General features: G+C 34.4%; 1 protein-coding gene across 3 annotated transcripts in view; it reads right to left on the bottom strand.

The window, feature by feature from the left end:
- Positions 1-16,153, bottom strand: part of BANK1 (B cell scaffold protein with ankyrin repeats 1) — a 284,083-nt gene that overhangs the window by 41,785 nt on the left and 226,145 nt on the right. For all 3 annotated transcript variants that reach the window (NM_017935.5, NM_001127507.3, NM_001083907.3), the window contains 3 exons: positions 11,436-11,514; positions 7,519-7,827; positions 2,763-3,068 (listed from right to left, as the gene is read on the bottom strand). In NM_017935.5, coding sequence (NP_060405.5) covers positions 2,763-3,068; positions 7,519-7,827; positions 11,436-11,514 — 694 coding nt within the window. The remainder of the gene's footprint in view (positions 1-2,762; positions 3,069-7,518; positions 7,828-11,435; positions 11,515-16,153) is intronic.

Raw genomic sequence — 16,153 nt, 5'->3', positions numbered from 1 at the left:
ACATAAATAATATTTTGGGGCCATCCAATGAAAAAGCTGGTTACCTACTTCCTAATTACCCTACAATGCTGTCCATAAGTTAAAAAGTAGAGTTTCCATTGAGGCATTTGGTGCTTCATTTTTTTTTTTTATTTTTATATTTTTTGATGGAGTCTCACTCTGTCGCTCAGGCTGGAGTGGAGTGGTGCGATGTTGGCTCACTACAACCTCCGACTCCTGGGTTCAAGCTATTCTCCTGCCTCAGCCTCCTGAGTAGCTGACATTACAGGTACCTGCCACCATGCCTGGGTAACTTTTTTGTATTTTTAGTAGAGACGGGGTTTCATCATGTTAGCCAGGCTGGTCTTGAATTCCTGACCTCAGGTGATCCACCTGCCTCGGCCTCCCAAAGTGCTGGGATTACAGACATGATCCACCATGCCCGGCCGGTGCTTCATTGTTAAACATGAAAACATAGCTAAGAATAGCCATATTTGATGGAAGTATCAAATGTTACAGGCAGAACAAACAAGTAAAGACAACAGAGACAATATGAGAGCAGAAGGAAAAGTAAGAACAAAAGAAATTTAAAAACAAATCAAAACACAATGAAGCAAAATCAGTAACAAAGATATTGAATTATATCTCTCTGTACCCACCTAAAAGAGAAAAGAATTCTACAAAAAAGAACAACAGAGAACAAGACAGAGATCTTGGAGAACAAGAATATGACCATCAATAGAAGGATGGGAAGATAACGGCCAAACGGTAGACGAACACAACATGGGATTCCATTCTTGTCCTGAGAAACTCCCTAGGCATTGGAATATAGAAGATGAGGTATTTCTTCAAAAATTTCTAGAGTATAACTAACTTTTTGTATCAAGCTATATCCACTTTCTCTTTTAAAAGTATTTACTGGTATTTAGCAACTTTGTCAAGGAGATAGTAATACCCTAGAGATATTAAACTATGAGAGACAACCTGAGAATTTCTAGCAAAAGTTCATTCCCTGACTTTATAATCTATAATCTAGACAACTGTTCCAATTCATGTTTTATTTCAGCTGAAACAGTTGATTAATTTGCTATAGTTTCCTAATTTGTTATAGTTTCTTGAACAATATCAAGAGAAGATCATCATTAAATAAGTGTATTTTATACTGATAAATACTTTATACGTGCTTGCTAAATTTTCTTATATGAATCTCTTAATACATACATGCAGCTTAAGGAACAGAATGGTTTCTTTTGAAAATATTAAGTATATATGAGTAATTATGTTTCTCTTAGGTGGATCTGTGGTATATATTTAAATGTTCTTGTGTTGCATATTATTTATAGGAGTTGAGCATCTTTCTTATAGAATTAGGAAGGAAGTATCAAGGAGAATTTCTACATATATCCTATGGTTTCATGTTCCCTGAAAGACTTGTCATTATCCTTTTTAATGAGGAAGTAGAAACCGGAACTCAATCCATCATTCTTATTTTCTTTACTCACTATGTTTCTAAATTTAAAAATGAGCCAGTACATGGGCAAGGACTTCATGTCTAAAACACCAAAAGCAATGACAACAAAAGACAAAATTGACAAATGGGATCTAATTAAACTAAAGCGCTTCTGCACAGCAAAAGAAACTATCATCAGAGTGAACACGCAACCTACAGAGTGGGAGAAAATTTTGGCAATTTATCCACCTGACAAAGGGCTAATATCCAGAATCTACAAAGAACTTAAACAAATTTACAAGAAAAAACAACCCCCCATCAAAAAAGTGGGCAAAGGATATGAACAGATACTTCTCAAAAGAAGACATTTATGCAGCCAACGGACACTTGAAAAAATGCTCATCATCACTGGTCATCAGAGAAATGCAAATCGAAACCACAGTGAGATACCATCTCACACCAGTTAGAATGGCAACCATTAAAAAGTCAGGAAACAACAGATGCTGGTGAGGATGTGGAGAAACAGGGATGCTTTTACACTGTTGGTGGGAGTGTAAATTAGTTCAATCATTGTGGAAGACAGTGTGGCGATTCCTCAAGGATCTAGAACTAGAAATACCATTTGACCCAGCAATCCCATTACTGGGTATATACCCAAAGTATTATAAATCATTCTACTATAAAGACACATGCACATGTATGTTTATTGTGGCACTATTCATAATAGCAAAGACTTGGAACCAACCCAAATGTCCATCAATAGTAGACTGGATAAAGAAAATGTGGCATATATACACCATGGAATACTATGCAGCCATAAAAAAGGATGAGTTCATGTCCTTTGCAGGGACATGGATGATGCTGGAAACCATCATTCTCAGCAAACTATCACGAGAACAGAAAACCAAACACTGCATGTTCTCACTCATAAGTGGGAGTTGAAAGATGAGAACACATGGACACAGGGTGGGGAATATGAATATCACACACTGGGGCCTGTTGCGGGGTGGGGGGCTGGGGGAGAGATAACATTAGGAGAAATACCCAATGTAGGTGACGGGTTGATGGGTACAGCAGACTACCATGGCATGCACATACCTAGTAACAAGACTGCACGTTCTGCACATGTACCCCAGAACTTAAAGTATAATAATAATAAAAAAATACTCTTAGTGGAAAAAAAATGAGCCAGTATAGCTTAGCTGTGACTTGAAAAAAAATGTTTACTCTTTGGAGTTTTAGAGCATTAATTGCATCACCTTATCCCCTCCTCCCATCCTCAAAATTTTGGACAAAAAAAATTAACAAGTAAACAAACAACAATGATAATTACCTTGAGCTATGTAAGGTGTAGTTTCCTCTTTTGGAGGTATACTTGTGGGTCGGGGTGTGGGGGCAGGAGGTCTATTTATAATGAAAGACCGACTCCCAGTTTTTTTCTTTATACTCAGATTGGCCAATATCATGTCATATTCACTGTCATCAATCTCAGCAAAAGTATATGGGTCTTCTTCCTCCTCCTGCTCTTTTTCCTCTTCTTTCTTCTCTTTTTCTCCTTTGGGTTCATCTCCTGTTTCTTGTCTAACACCAGGATGACCCCAGTTTTGACTTCTTTCCATTTGGCCTTCCACCATTGTCCCTGTTTATGAAATATTTACATGGTGTTTACTCTTCTGTTACATGCAACATTATTGGTGTCCATCTGTCACTTTTTTGAGCTTCCCAAGGTGGCTTAGTCAAGTGCCGTAGGAAACAGTATTAGAGAAGAGCTCGTGACTCCAGGAGAATAATTTATATGTCACCCCCTAAATGCAGAAAAAGTGAGCTGTGTAACTTACTAATAAATCATCCTGCACTTTGTAGTTTAAATTGTATTAAGACAAATACGTGTAGTAAAAAAATCCATGTGCTTAAGACATGGAATTTTTTAAAACATTTAAATACTTTCCATATTATTTTGTGTAGAGAGAGAGCAATATATATATATTATTTTTATATATTATTTCATATATAAATATTTAATGTATAAAATATAATTATATGTATTAAATATACCTTTATATATTATTTTATATATTATATATACTTTTACATATAAAGAATGATTTCATATCAGAAAATCAAGTTATAAATCTATGTCTGAAACTCCACAGCTTTGAAAACTTGTGTTTTTCAAGCATAATATTCTTAGATTTTTTTTTTCATTTGAAGTTGTTTCATGTTTCATATTGCTTGCACTGGATATTTCACCTAAAATTTAATTTCTCTGAAAATGACAGGGAGAAATAGCCAAAGGCACCATTAGTTGGTTTCATAGCAGTCGGTCTTTGACTATGACAAACTGACCTTCAGAAATGCAGCTTTTGTTTTCTACAAGCCAACATGGGCCTTATTCATAGATAAAGGACACTGGCCAATGGCTTCTGTGCCTAATCCCAATGCTTTGGGAGGCTGAGGTAAGAGGATAGCTGGAGGCCAGGAATTTGAGAGCAGCCTAGTGAGACCTAGTATCTACAAAAATAAAAGAATTAGCTAGGTGGCGAGTACTCCTAGCTACTCCAGAAATTGAGGAGAAAGGATTGCTTTAGCCCAAGAGTTTGAGGCTATAGTGAGCTATAGGCATGCCATTGCACTCCAGACTGGGCAACAGAGCAAGATCGTGCCTCAAAAATAAAAACAAACAAAAAAAAAACAAATAAAAAACAGATGAAAGACACTGAAAGTAGAGTTCATGACATAAAAGACAGCATGGATGATCAATGGTGTGAGAATGAATTCACATGAAAAGAATAAAATTATAGGTTTCAGAGTCTTTGATGATTTTTCCATACAGTAATATCTTGACATATTTTTATAAGAATATGTTAAAATATTTTTGTAGCAGTTATTAATAACAGATATAATATGCTTTGATTAACAAGTAAATTAAAAAGAATTTTAATGGCTCTCTACAAGGCCAATGAAGGCTTTTTCTTTCATTTTCATTCTTTTTTGAATTTGCCCTTCGAGAATCTGATACTCCTAAAATTAGTTTACTTATGAAGATTTTAGTGGAAAAACTTAAAAGGGGAAAGACAAGTAGCAGAGCAGAATAAAAGGATATTATAGAAAGATTCAGCAATTGCCTTGGGTAAGATTATGAGGCGAGATTAAGATAATCTCCCAACAGAGTCTTAACTCTTATAGTTTCATTTAGTTTAACTTAAGAAGTATTAATTACCGATGTGCCTAGCACTAACTTTCAATTCACCACGGCTTGCCTTTTATCCTATGAATAATATGGTTTTAAGATTTTGACTTTATGACTTCTGGTTCACTGACAGCAACACAGGTGAAAACAGATTAAGTGTGTGGGAACCACTTTTTCAGTGTTTCATTTTTAGCGGAATGTGTCAACCATCTTACGTTTATGAACCGATTTCCTGAGCTCTTAACTCTCTTTGTTTCCCCACCCACCTCCCTTCCCAACATTTCTAAAGTTGGGCTTGCACTAGAAATAATACATTTTACTTTTTATTTTCCAAAGTATCAGATAATACTTTTCAGTTAAGAGTGGGACCTAAGCTTTCTGAATTCAGGTGGTATATCAATAAAGAAAGATTAAAACAAATCACTTCCATAATTCCAACTTTTGAAGTAATTGGGTCAAGACTGTATAAAAAAGAGAAAAATCCTAATAGCCTAGGAGACCTGTTAATAGAAGCAACTGACACATTCTAATTATAGGGCTTCTTGGAACTGAGTCAAGGAGGGATCCGATAATTACTTTCCAGGATTCTTGGGTTAAAAAGAAACCATGGGTTCTTTATAAACTGTAAAGTGCTCTATAGTATTATATGTTATTAGTTTCTCCAATGAAGAAGTCCGTAAATCCACTGTGAGGAATTTGATGCCTACAGCACTGAGGAGAAGGCTTTTTTTTTTTTTTCCTTCAGTAACTTGATGGCAGATGGAAGCTACTCATAAAGAACAACTCCTGAAGGTATCACTAGCCAAAGTCAAAGACATACAAAGTCTCTGGCAAACAAATAAGTGATAGCTTACAGCCTTGCATTTAAAGGCCAATAAAACATTTTTAAGAAAAAATACCGGCATTTTATTATCCATTTCTAATATCAGTACTATCAAAAGATAAAAGTAACACTGAATATAAAATGTAAAAATAGGGTTTTTAAATTAAATAAGTGAGTTTTTATTTTATTTTGCTTTTTATATTTGCTAGTTTTCAGGAGACATGTTATCCAAGATTACATTTCTGATCTTAGACAACTCATGAAGACCCTTGATAGAGTCGTTTTAGACCTGCTAACCAACATACCATATATAGAAATTAACATTAGGAAAAATATGATTTAATATTAGCACTTTTAAGAGAAATAATCTGACACAAGACAATTTTACCTTCTTGACAATTAATTTTGTTATAACAAATTATTCAGATCTGAAAAAATGAGAAAAATATGCCAGAATTTTGTAGTCAGTGTACTACTAACTTATGATGTTTTCTCCCCTCATAGCTAAATATTAATATATCTACTTCATGGATAAATGTTGAGGGTCCACAAGACCTTCAAATATAGTAGGTAATAAATATCTGTTGAATGAATGAATGAATCAGAGGAATATCCACTAGGCTTCAGAGCTTTCAATTAAGCAGTACTTTCCATCTCTAAATACAGTGCATAAGCTTAATAAAGCTTATGTTGGTAAACTTGGGTCTTCATAGAGAGCCTTCAATGACACAAATGCTAAATTCCTTTTTTTTTTTTTTTTTTTGAGATGGAGTCTCACTCTTGTTGCCCAGGCTGGGGTGCAGCGGCATGATCTTGGCTCACTGCAACCTCCGCCTCCCGGGCTCAAGCGATTCTCCTGCCTCAGCCTCCCCAGTTGCTGGCATTACAGGTGCACGCCCAGCTAATTTTTGTATTTTTAGTAGAGATGGGGGTTTCACCATGTTGGTCAGACTGGTCTCGAACTCCTGACCTCAGGTGAATCGCCTGCCTCGGCCTCCCAAAGTGCTGGGATTACAGGCATGAGCCACTGTGCCCAGCCCAAATACTAAATTTCATTGCGTAAAAATTTACTTTTTGAAACAAGGTCATGTTTTTGTACTTTGTAGCCTTCTAGGACCCAACAACTAAATTATAGTGAAAATGGGGTTTGTAGCCTTCTAGGACCCAACAACTAAATTATAGTGAAAATGGGGTTTTGATAAGGAGTTTTTTTTTTTTAACTAAATTGTCTTCTTAAGAACATTTTATTTGGAAAATAAATATAAATTTGGAAAGTACATATGAAATAATGATCAAAAAGTAGATGATAATTTGTGACTGTAAGAGTGAGCCTGGAGCTGGGAGTTTGTCAGGCTGTTGAACACTCCAGGCAGATAAACCTAATGTGGAAGCTCCTCTTCATGCCCTCCGCAAGGACAGATTCCCCACACCCACTTTCCACACCCCAATTCCTTCGTCTGGGAACAAATGCCAGTGATAGCTATGTTGACTCTTCTTCCACTTGGGTAGTGTATAGAGTGTTTTTAAACTTTGGTGTCAGTGCAGTGTGCGACAAACCCTTTAACGCTTAATTCTCCCACAGCTACCAAGTGATTAAAGTACCCAAGTTCATCTGAAAATTGTCGATCATTAGCATTTCACTTTTTGTCTGAAGACTGAGAGTATGTTTTAAAAGCAATGTTGTATTTCCTTTTCCACAGAATGCCTGAGGTTCATTTTATGTGAAGAACTACAGACTCCTTCCAAGTTTTATTCTCTTAAAGCTTTGTAATAAGACAAGGAAGAAAGAAAGAGAGAAACAGAGAAAAAGTGGGAGAAGGAAGGAAGAAAGGGAAGGAGGGAGGGAGGGAGGAAGGAAGGAAGGAAGCAAGGAAATAAGAAACAAAAGAACAAGGTAGAGGTAGGTATCTCTTGCCTCATTTCCCAGGCCTTAGTTTTTAAAGAATAGGAAGAATGTTGCTATTGGTTTCAAAAGCTGATCTGCTCTGTATAGATTTGCCACTGCACTATTTGCTATGTAAGCCTGTCAAAGATTTGTCTTTGTTTTGTTTTGTTTTTTTCTAACCTTAAACTTACCTGGTAAGGTGAAGTGAGGTCTTTCCAGTTGGAAGGCATTAGCTACAGGTCGCGGCGGGGGGAGAGGAGGTCTGCTGCTCATGAGTGGCTCTTGTGAATTATTTTCTGGATCAGCACCAGGAATGAACACATACAAGTCATCATACTGGTCTTCAGAACTCTCACTGCCAACCTCTAGTGGGCTGTGTTTGGTCTCCATGCCTGATCCATTCTGTTTTCCTTCCCCTTCCATTTCATTTGCCTCAGCTCCATCTGCACTCTGCCCGTATGTCTTCCTGCTTTCATGATGAAATGCTGGGTTCTGTGTGGCTGTTTATGATGAAGATTGCATGATTTCATTTAAACACACCATCTGAAGGCATTTCATATTTTATAAAATTGTACAGAAATAGTAGTACTGCTAATAAAACTTTTATGACCTGATATAGTGAAAAGCTGTCAAATGTGTAACTTTTAGTGAACAGTCATTTATTTCTGGGTTTTTAAAATACTTACCAAATGAACAGTCAAAGCTCCATTATGTCTTGCTATCTGTGTATATGACACACTCATGCAGATAACGATATTCTGATTCTTTAGAGTTATTGTTTGAACAAATTCATATATTTGATAGCATCCTTGCATTTTTATTAGAAAACAATATAACTGACCCAATAAAATAATAAATGATGGAAAACGTAAAGAAAAAAGACACAAACCTTTACTTGCTTGTAAATAATAAATAGAAATGAATCTGACTCTTATTTAGTTATTTTAATATATATTGATCTTTACAGATAACTATAATAATTTTATAATTCCTTATAGTAAATCATTTACAGATACTGTATTAACTTTGGAGCTATTACTTGGGAAAAGTTAATTTTTTTTTGGTGAAAAAGGCATGTAAATCACCAACAGTAGGTAAATCTTTCTGAGGATCAGTTCTTTACCTATAAATGCATTCTACCCAGAAATTTAACCAAATGATCCAAATTCCCTCTACTCTGACAACCATACCATTATTTGTTTTTATATTATATACAGTAAATGCTCTTTAAACACTCAGGAAGAAAGCAGAAAAAAAGAAATTATAATGCAATGACTTTAAATCTTCAGAAAAAACTTTTATTAAATTTTCTTTATAAAAATATTCTCTAAATAAAGGATTCAAAAAATTTAAAACAGTCTTTTGGAATTTCTAAACAGACTTTGGAACCTCTGTAACAGACCTTTGAATATGTGAATTGTTTTCCTTGTCAAGGCAAGATATTGCTGTATTAAAATGTTGCTAAGCTAAAATATAGCTTAAAATCCCAAACAGCACAATGTAGAGAAGAAAGACTTCTTTAAAATGAAGAATTACACTGTAGAATGTAGAAAAATCATGCCCATGATGGTAGCCCATATTATTATATGGAATTTTCTTTTTTTGTTTTTCTATTCTTTCATGTGAGAAAGAAGAAAGATACAGTTTCCAGTACTAAAACTAAACCAAGATTCTTTAATTACCAGCATGGGCAGAGTGGATAGTTATTTGTTTTTGTACAATCTATCTGCACAGATCTCATTCATTTTTCTATCCTTAACACAAAACACTAAGCCTGAAATGAAGTAGTCTCTAGAAATGCTGATGGAGTAGATGATGGAATGGATGGAAAAAATTATTGCTCAGGCTAGCAAAGGAACTTTATTATTTCTGTATGGGCAAATCAGTCATCAACTCAGAATTACATTCACGCTATAGGAAATTATTCTTAGCCACACTTCTGCTTATATATTCAGTGTTTCTTAATACTGAATAAGCAACAGAATCTGAATGGTACTTGTCATCAAATATGCCCAAACTTGGGTTTCAGCCCCGGAAAGTCAGATTTAATGAGTTGGTGTGTTTTAGCATGCTTTGTTGTAATGGTAATACCAATGGAAATCCACTGAGCTAGGGTTCTGTGCTTCACCCTCTCACTCATGAAAGAGACTGGCTTGAGCCCAGTCACACACAGTTTCATATACAAGAGAGTTTGTAGTTTCAAACTGCAAAAGTGAAATTTTTCTTTATAAAGAATTGAAATAATGTTTTATTATTACAGTCAATTCTTCTGAAAATTAAACGTCATGATAAATATATGGTCATTTTCAATCATGGCCTTTATAATCACTTTTATTATAATTTAAATGATAAGATGTATAACTTTAAAGCTTGGTGCATTAATCCATTAATTTAATATTTAGCATTTTTTGTGTCCTGCAATAACTTGAAGAGTTTACTAATTTTGCCAAAGTATGCTAGTGAAGGCATTTACTTGTATTTAACTTTATTTGATTTGCAGGTCCCCATCATTTGAAAAACTTGTGGTCAATAATGTTTCATTGGGCATAGACTATGTTCTGTTACAGGTACTGGGGATACAATCAAAACAGTGAATAAAAAGCCCTAATCCCTTTGAGCATGTGATTTAGAAAGAGAATACAGGCAATAAACAACAACCAGATAAATAATATATCATATTAAATGTTGATAAGTGCAATGAAGAAAAGGAGCAGGTAAAGTGAAATGAAGAGTAGGGTGTCATAAAACGAAGAAAGAAGTGATGAAGCAACTATTGAGCATATAAGGAGAAAGTGTACAGAAGGAATAGAAAGTGCAAATGCCCTGAGGCAGGCACATTATTGGTTTGTGAATGAGTAAGATAATGGTGAGAGATGGGAACACAAAGATTAGGGCCTTGTAGGGGATGAGAAAGGTTATGAGTACAATGGGGAGATATTGGAGGATTTGGAGCAGAAGAGTGTTTAGTCCTTCATGAAAGGTGTTTAGTCCTTTCATGAAGTGTAGAATATCAGAGGCAACAAATGTGGAAGTTGCTATTGAAGGCGTCCTATACATTATTTAGCAGCAGTCCTTCTATCTCTACCCAATAAATACCAGTAGCAATCCTCCCTCCTGAGTCATAACAATAGAACAATTTCCGTTCATTGCCAAGCTTGCAATGTAGGAAGTGACAATGACCCTCCAGTTCTCCACTGTGTTATTGCAGTAAACAAGGGGAGAACTGATGATGGTGTGGACTAGGATAATGAAAGGGGAGAGAAATGGCTGAATGCTGGGAATGTTTTGAAGGCAGAGTCAACAGTATTGTAAGACTGATTGCATATGGGGTAGGAGAGAAAGTAAAAATGCCAAGGATGACTTTCAAGCATTTTTTAACTGACTTGAACAAAGGAGGGAAGGAGTTTTCACTTACTGAGATGGGGAAGTCAGCAGGTGGAGAGGTTTGGCAATGGCAGGAATCCGAACTTTCAAAAATGTTGGATGTGAGATTCCTACCAAACATGCTGGTGAAGCTGTTGAGCTGTATGCCAATAAAGCCTGGCATAATGGGTGGAGTTTACGTACACATATAAACGCGTATATATACACGTTTATATATACATGTATATATGTGTATATATATACATTTATATACACATATACGTTTATATACATGTAGGAACATCCTGAATTATTCTTCAGACATTAGAATGTAGAATCACAGATATTAGGGCCAGGGAGGACCTTAGAGAGTATTCTAGTTCAATATTCTCATTTCATAGCTGAGAAAACTAAGGTCTGCAAATAATGTGGTTATGAGTTTTTAAAAAACTTTAAAAATGTAGTTGTCAAATAGTCCACATAGTCATAACAGAGTTATTTGTGTATTCCCTCTGGGTAGGAAAAATCAGTATTTGATTTTTAAAACTTGAACTTATTAAAAGTATTTAAATTAGGAATATGATGTAGTAGTGTCTCTATTACAAATTAAAAGCCAATCAGTTAATTAAATACCGTGCCACATTCTCTTCAGTCTTGCTTTTTCAGTTACATCTTCCATAAGTCACATATATATGTGATATATATATGAATATGTCATATATATATATAACATGGAAAAACTTACAAGGAATATATGTGGAAAATGAGGCAATATCCTCTTCATAATCATTTTCTTGCTCATTATTTATGTCAATTTCTTGGATCTGAAAAAAATGTAATTTTTAATAATATGCATTAATCTTAATAAATATGCACTGGATGCCTGTGCAAATAAGAAATAGTTTTTGTTTTTATTTAAATATTATATTACAGATCTTGGATAATATATTTGTGCCATCTATAAATGCTCAATGGCACATAGTACTAAAAGTATAACGAGGGAAATAGTACATTTATAATAAACAATGAATTGCTTTAAAAATAAAACCTATTGAAATAGCTTTAAGATGCAAAGGAGGCAATAATCGTTAAGTTTAAGTGTAATAAAGAAGTTCTGAATAAAATTGAACACAACTATTTCTCTTGAAAACTATGAGCTTTTCTTCCTTTTGAACATTCTATATCTTTTACAGTTCAAAAGATATTCTTAATTACAATTACTGTAATACAGTGAAAGACAATGAAATTATAAAGTGGTTTATTCTCCATCTTTACAAAAAAGAAATAAATCCAGTAAGGGTACTTCTCTTTATTTGTCTTTCTGAAAACAGTTCCACTATATGTACTTCAAAGGCAGAATTAACTGAGAAATGACAGAAACCTCTTATCTCCAGAATTGCTAGTCTTTGTTTATAATCTCTAAAGAGACATGGAGTTTACAGTTGTGGTGCATACTGGTGCTCAGAGAGAAAGCTAATACTAGTGATGGTTCTATTTGTGCAAAAGCATCTAGGGAAAGGGATGGAGATTGACTGGATTTCACATAGGATGTGTTTTGTTACCAGGAACTCCAAGGGATTATTCAAATGACTTACGTTTCTGTTCTTAAAAAATTAATTGAAATAATTTAGGCCATTTGTTCTGCATTTGAAATGTCCCTTCAAAAATTAGAAGCATCCATATTAAAGCATTTTGAAATTTATAGTAGCTTTGATATGCAAAGGTATTTCACCTGCATTTTGACTTCATCAATTAAGTTTATCACCCACTTTGGCCAAAGAGAGCCCAATGGAACTCATTAATTTTTTTTTAAACACTAATGTCATCCAGAGAAGCAAAACAGTCCCTAATTTCCCATGGAATTTTGAAAATGAAATATTTTCAGTATTTTTTACTGAGCCTGATGCAATAACTCATTTTATATTTCAATTATATTTTCCCTTTGATGGACTCCACTAAATTCTAATATGAAAAATTGTGTAGTTTTAGTAGGAGGTTTGACATTTTGATTGATATTTGTATGCTTTGGTATTAAAATCATTGTTTAATATAGCTAATCTTTGTTTCCAATTAGCTTCACCTATATATTTCATAAGGTAGGTCAAAAATATATTTTGAAAACCCATAGTACTCCCAAAACCACTTCAAGGATTTTTTTTTACTAATTTATTAGTAGCAATGGTTTACAAAGATTTTGAGAATTATGCAAAAATTCCTATATATTATTCACAAGCTTGGGCATTATGAGCTCAAAATCACTGTGAATTAATAAACTGACATTAGGCAAGTATGTGGATGGATGTGTATGTACTGAGGCTGAAACCTAATGGAATTGTTTTTGTGTCATAACTGAAGCCATATGACATTTGTACAAAAAGCCAAATACCCTGAACCCAATAATGTCTCAAAAGAATCTGCCTCTAAATTAAGAAAAAAGTCTAGGTTGATTTGAAAACTTTCATAAATATTATGTACAATTGATATTTTATATAATCAGACTATGCAGGGAGTAATTGTTTTCTCCAGAATAAAATGCTCTGTAGAAATATTTATGCTAAAAAACCAATGCTTCTTACTTAGGTTCCCTACACTTACAATCATATTTATTTTGAAAAACATGCCAGATCTAATAATATATTAATGATTCTTCAATAAAATCAATGATGGCTTCAAAGATGAGTCTGAAGACATTCTGACATCTAATCATTTTAATCCTTGGCTGTGTGATGGAGTAGACAGAACATAGACTTTGGAGTCAATTTAAGTACAAATCGCAGCTCTATCATATATTAGCTGTGTGACATTAGGCCAGACACTTAACTCTAAGCCTCAATATTATATCCTGCAAAATGTGGATAGTAATATCTATGTCATCAGTTTGATGGGAGAATTAAATCAGAATAATGTAAGCAAGACACATATCACATCTACCACATAGTAACTGCTCAATAAATGTAATCTGCATATTTGATCTTCCTTCATCTAAGCTATACGCCTACTTTTAAGCAAGCATGTTTCTTTTATTCATTCATTCGTCAAATATTTTTGTAGGCCTACTATCTGCTAAATACTCTGTTAACTATTGGGGAAAGTAAATTGAAAATAGAAAAAGAGATATATTTCCCATTTTAAAAATAATCACATTTTTATTGGAAGAGGAAGATAAATAAAAAATTATTAGAATACAATATTTTATTTATTTCACAACAACAAACTCAGTCCTTAGAGGTGAAATAGAGAATTAAGAAACAGATGATCAGAGCAGGCCAGGCATGGTGGATTACCTGAGGTCAGGAGTTCAAGACCAGCCTGGCCAACATGGTGAAACTCTGTCTCTACTAAAAATACAAAAATTAGTTGGGCATGGTGGCACACCTGTGTAATCCCAGCTACTCGGGAGGCTGAGGCAGGAGAATTGCTTGAGCCCGGAGGCAGAGGTTGCAGTGAGCCGAGATCGCACCACTGCACTCCAGCCTGGCCGACAGAGCGAGACTCTGTCTCAAAAAAAAAAAAAAAAGGAAAGAAAGAAAGAAAAGAAATAGATGATCAGAGCAAAAGTTTTATTCATTTGCTTTTGGGTTTGGAGATTGGATTAAAAAATTATCTTGACACACACATTGATTCTCACTTCTCTAAATGAAAGATTAAGATTAAATGACAGAATCTATTAGCTGAACATGCTTAATGTAATATTTCAACCCACAGATAGTCCTTGTAGCACAGAATGTTTAATGTAATAAATTAAAATCATTCATTATCAAAGATAAATTAAAAAGAGAATATCTTGTTGACTGAGGTATATGAAGTTCCACATGGCTTTGACATCTGGTCCTGTACAAATTGATCATAATATTCTGATTTCGAGGAAGTGAATAAAAACAATCTTCACATGGCAGTTGGTTTCCAAATCATTTTATGAGATTCTGAAGATATTGTAATTGCCCCAACTCTTGCACAACTTTCCACAGTGTTGGTTATGAGTGATTTTTACCAGCTTTTATAAAGCACATTGAAGCCCATGGGATGAGAATATGAAGACAAATATATGTTTGAAGAGTGACAAGTTGACCTTGTAACATTCTATGTATTACCCCAAATAAATGTACTAGGCTGAAGAATTAGAGATAATATTTGAATAGAAAAATATATATTATTCTTACTAAATATTAAAAGTAATGATCAATGTTATACTAAAACCATAAATAACAGAAAACACATTTTCAAAAACAAAACTTGAAGGGCACATTATAGGAGAGTAATGTCTTAGTTCTAATTACATCTTTTAATGTTTTTCCTTAGGCTATCTATGGATATGACCTAAAAGCACATTCATATAATTTCCCATGAAAGTTTCTTTTTATATTACAGGAATTGAAATGCTGAGTGTAAAATTAAGGAGGAACTCCATCCACAGTTGAGAGAGGAATGAAAAGGAATAAAATAGAAATAAAGCTGTTAAACTCAAGGAAAATAAAAGTAGAAATTTTCTTTGTATGGGTTAAAATTTCATTAGAATAACCTGAGTATACATACACTATTTTTCAGACAGGATCTTATTATAGAAAACTAAAGTTATGAAAAGATATTGTGATCAGGTGAACAAAGTCTCATTCAGCACAACAGGAAATGCAATTTTCTAATTGTGGTTTGATCCCCTGCTTTGTAGAAATGGAGAAAGAAGCAGTAGGCATATTGTGACCTTGTCTCTCAATCTTAGGAAGGCAGAATTGAAAATGGTTAGCTTTCAAAATGTCGATGGAGGGTTGGCTTCTGTGACTGGCACATCTCTCATTCTGACCTGTGCTCACCCCAGGCTTCTCTCTCCCTCTGAGGCCACATTCCAGCTGACCTCTGGTGGTGGTGACCCATAGGACCCCTGGTCCCAGTGCTGAAAGCTCTTGGCCTTAATCTTTGCCCATGATTCAGCTTTAACTACAGTTATGAATATCAGGCTTGAGGACCTGTCCTTTTAAAAGATATTCTAGCCCTATTTTAATACTCTTTGTTTCAAGCCCACCATAGTTGTGGCTGTATCTGTGAGGTGTCAGCACCTTTATTGGGCCAAATGCCTCTGACCATCTCTGTCACTAAAATGGAATGAAAAATTAAAATCCAGTTCTTTGTTAAGACTGTAACTATAAATGTAAAAGATAACTACCTTCGTTTAAAATGATGGAACCCCAAGTCTGAAAATAACCTGTAGATAACAACTTGTTTATTCTATTTTTCATACAGTGATATAATATTAAAACAATGTATCACACTAAAACTTGTAATAATTTGAATATTTTTCCAGGAAAAAGTTGTTTTTAAATGTAGTCTATGGTCTGCACTGGCCAACTATCTTTATAAATTTGCTTTTCCTGGGTTTCATCTTTGTCCCTCCTTTCTTTTTACAGAATGCACTCTCCCTGTATCCATTCTTATCCACAGTGGATAAGAGTCATCTTATCCTCTCTGCTG

This window comes from Homo sapiens, chromosome 4 (genome assembly GCF_000001405.40).
Source record: "Homo sapiens chromosome 4, GRCh38.p14 Primary Assembly".
NCBI classification, from domain to species: Eukaryota; Metazoa; Chordata; class Mammalia; order Primates; family Hominidae; genus Homo; species Homo sapiens.
Note: the sequence above shows the minus strand (reverse complement) of the source record. Positions and strands in the feature narration are given on the sequence as shown.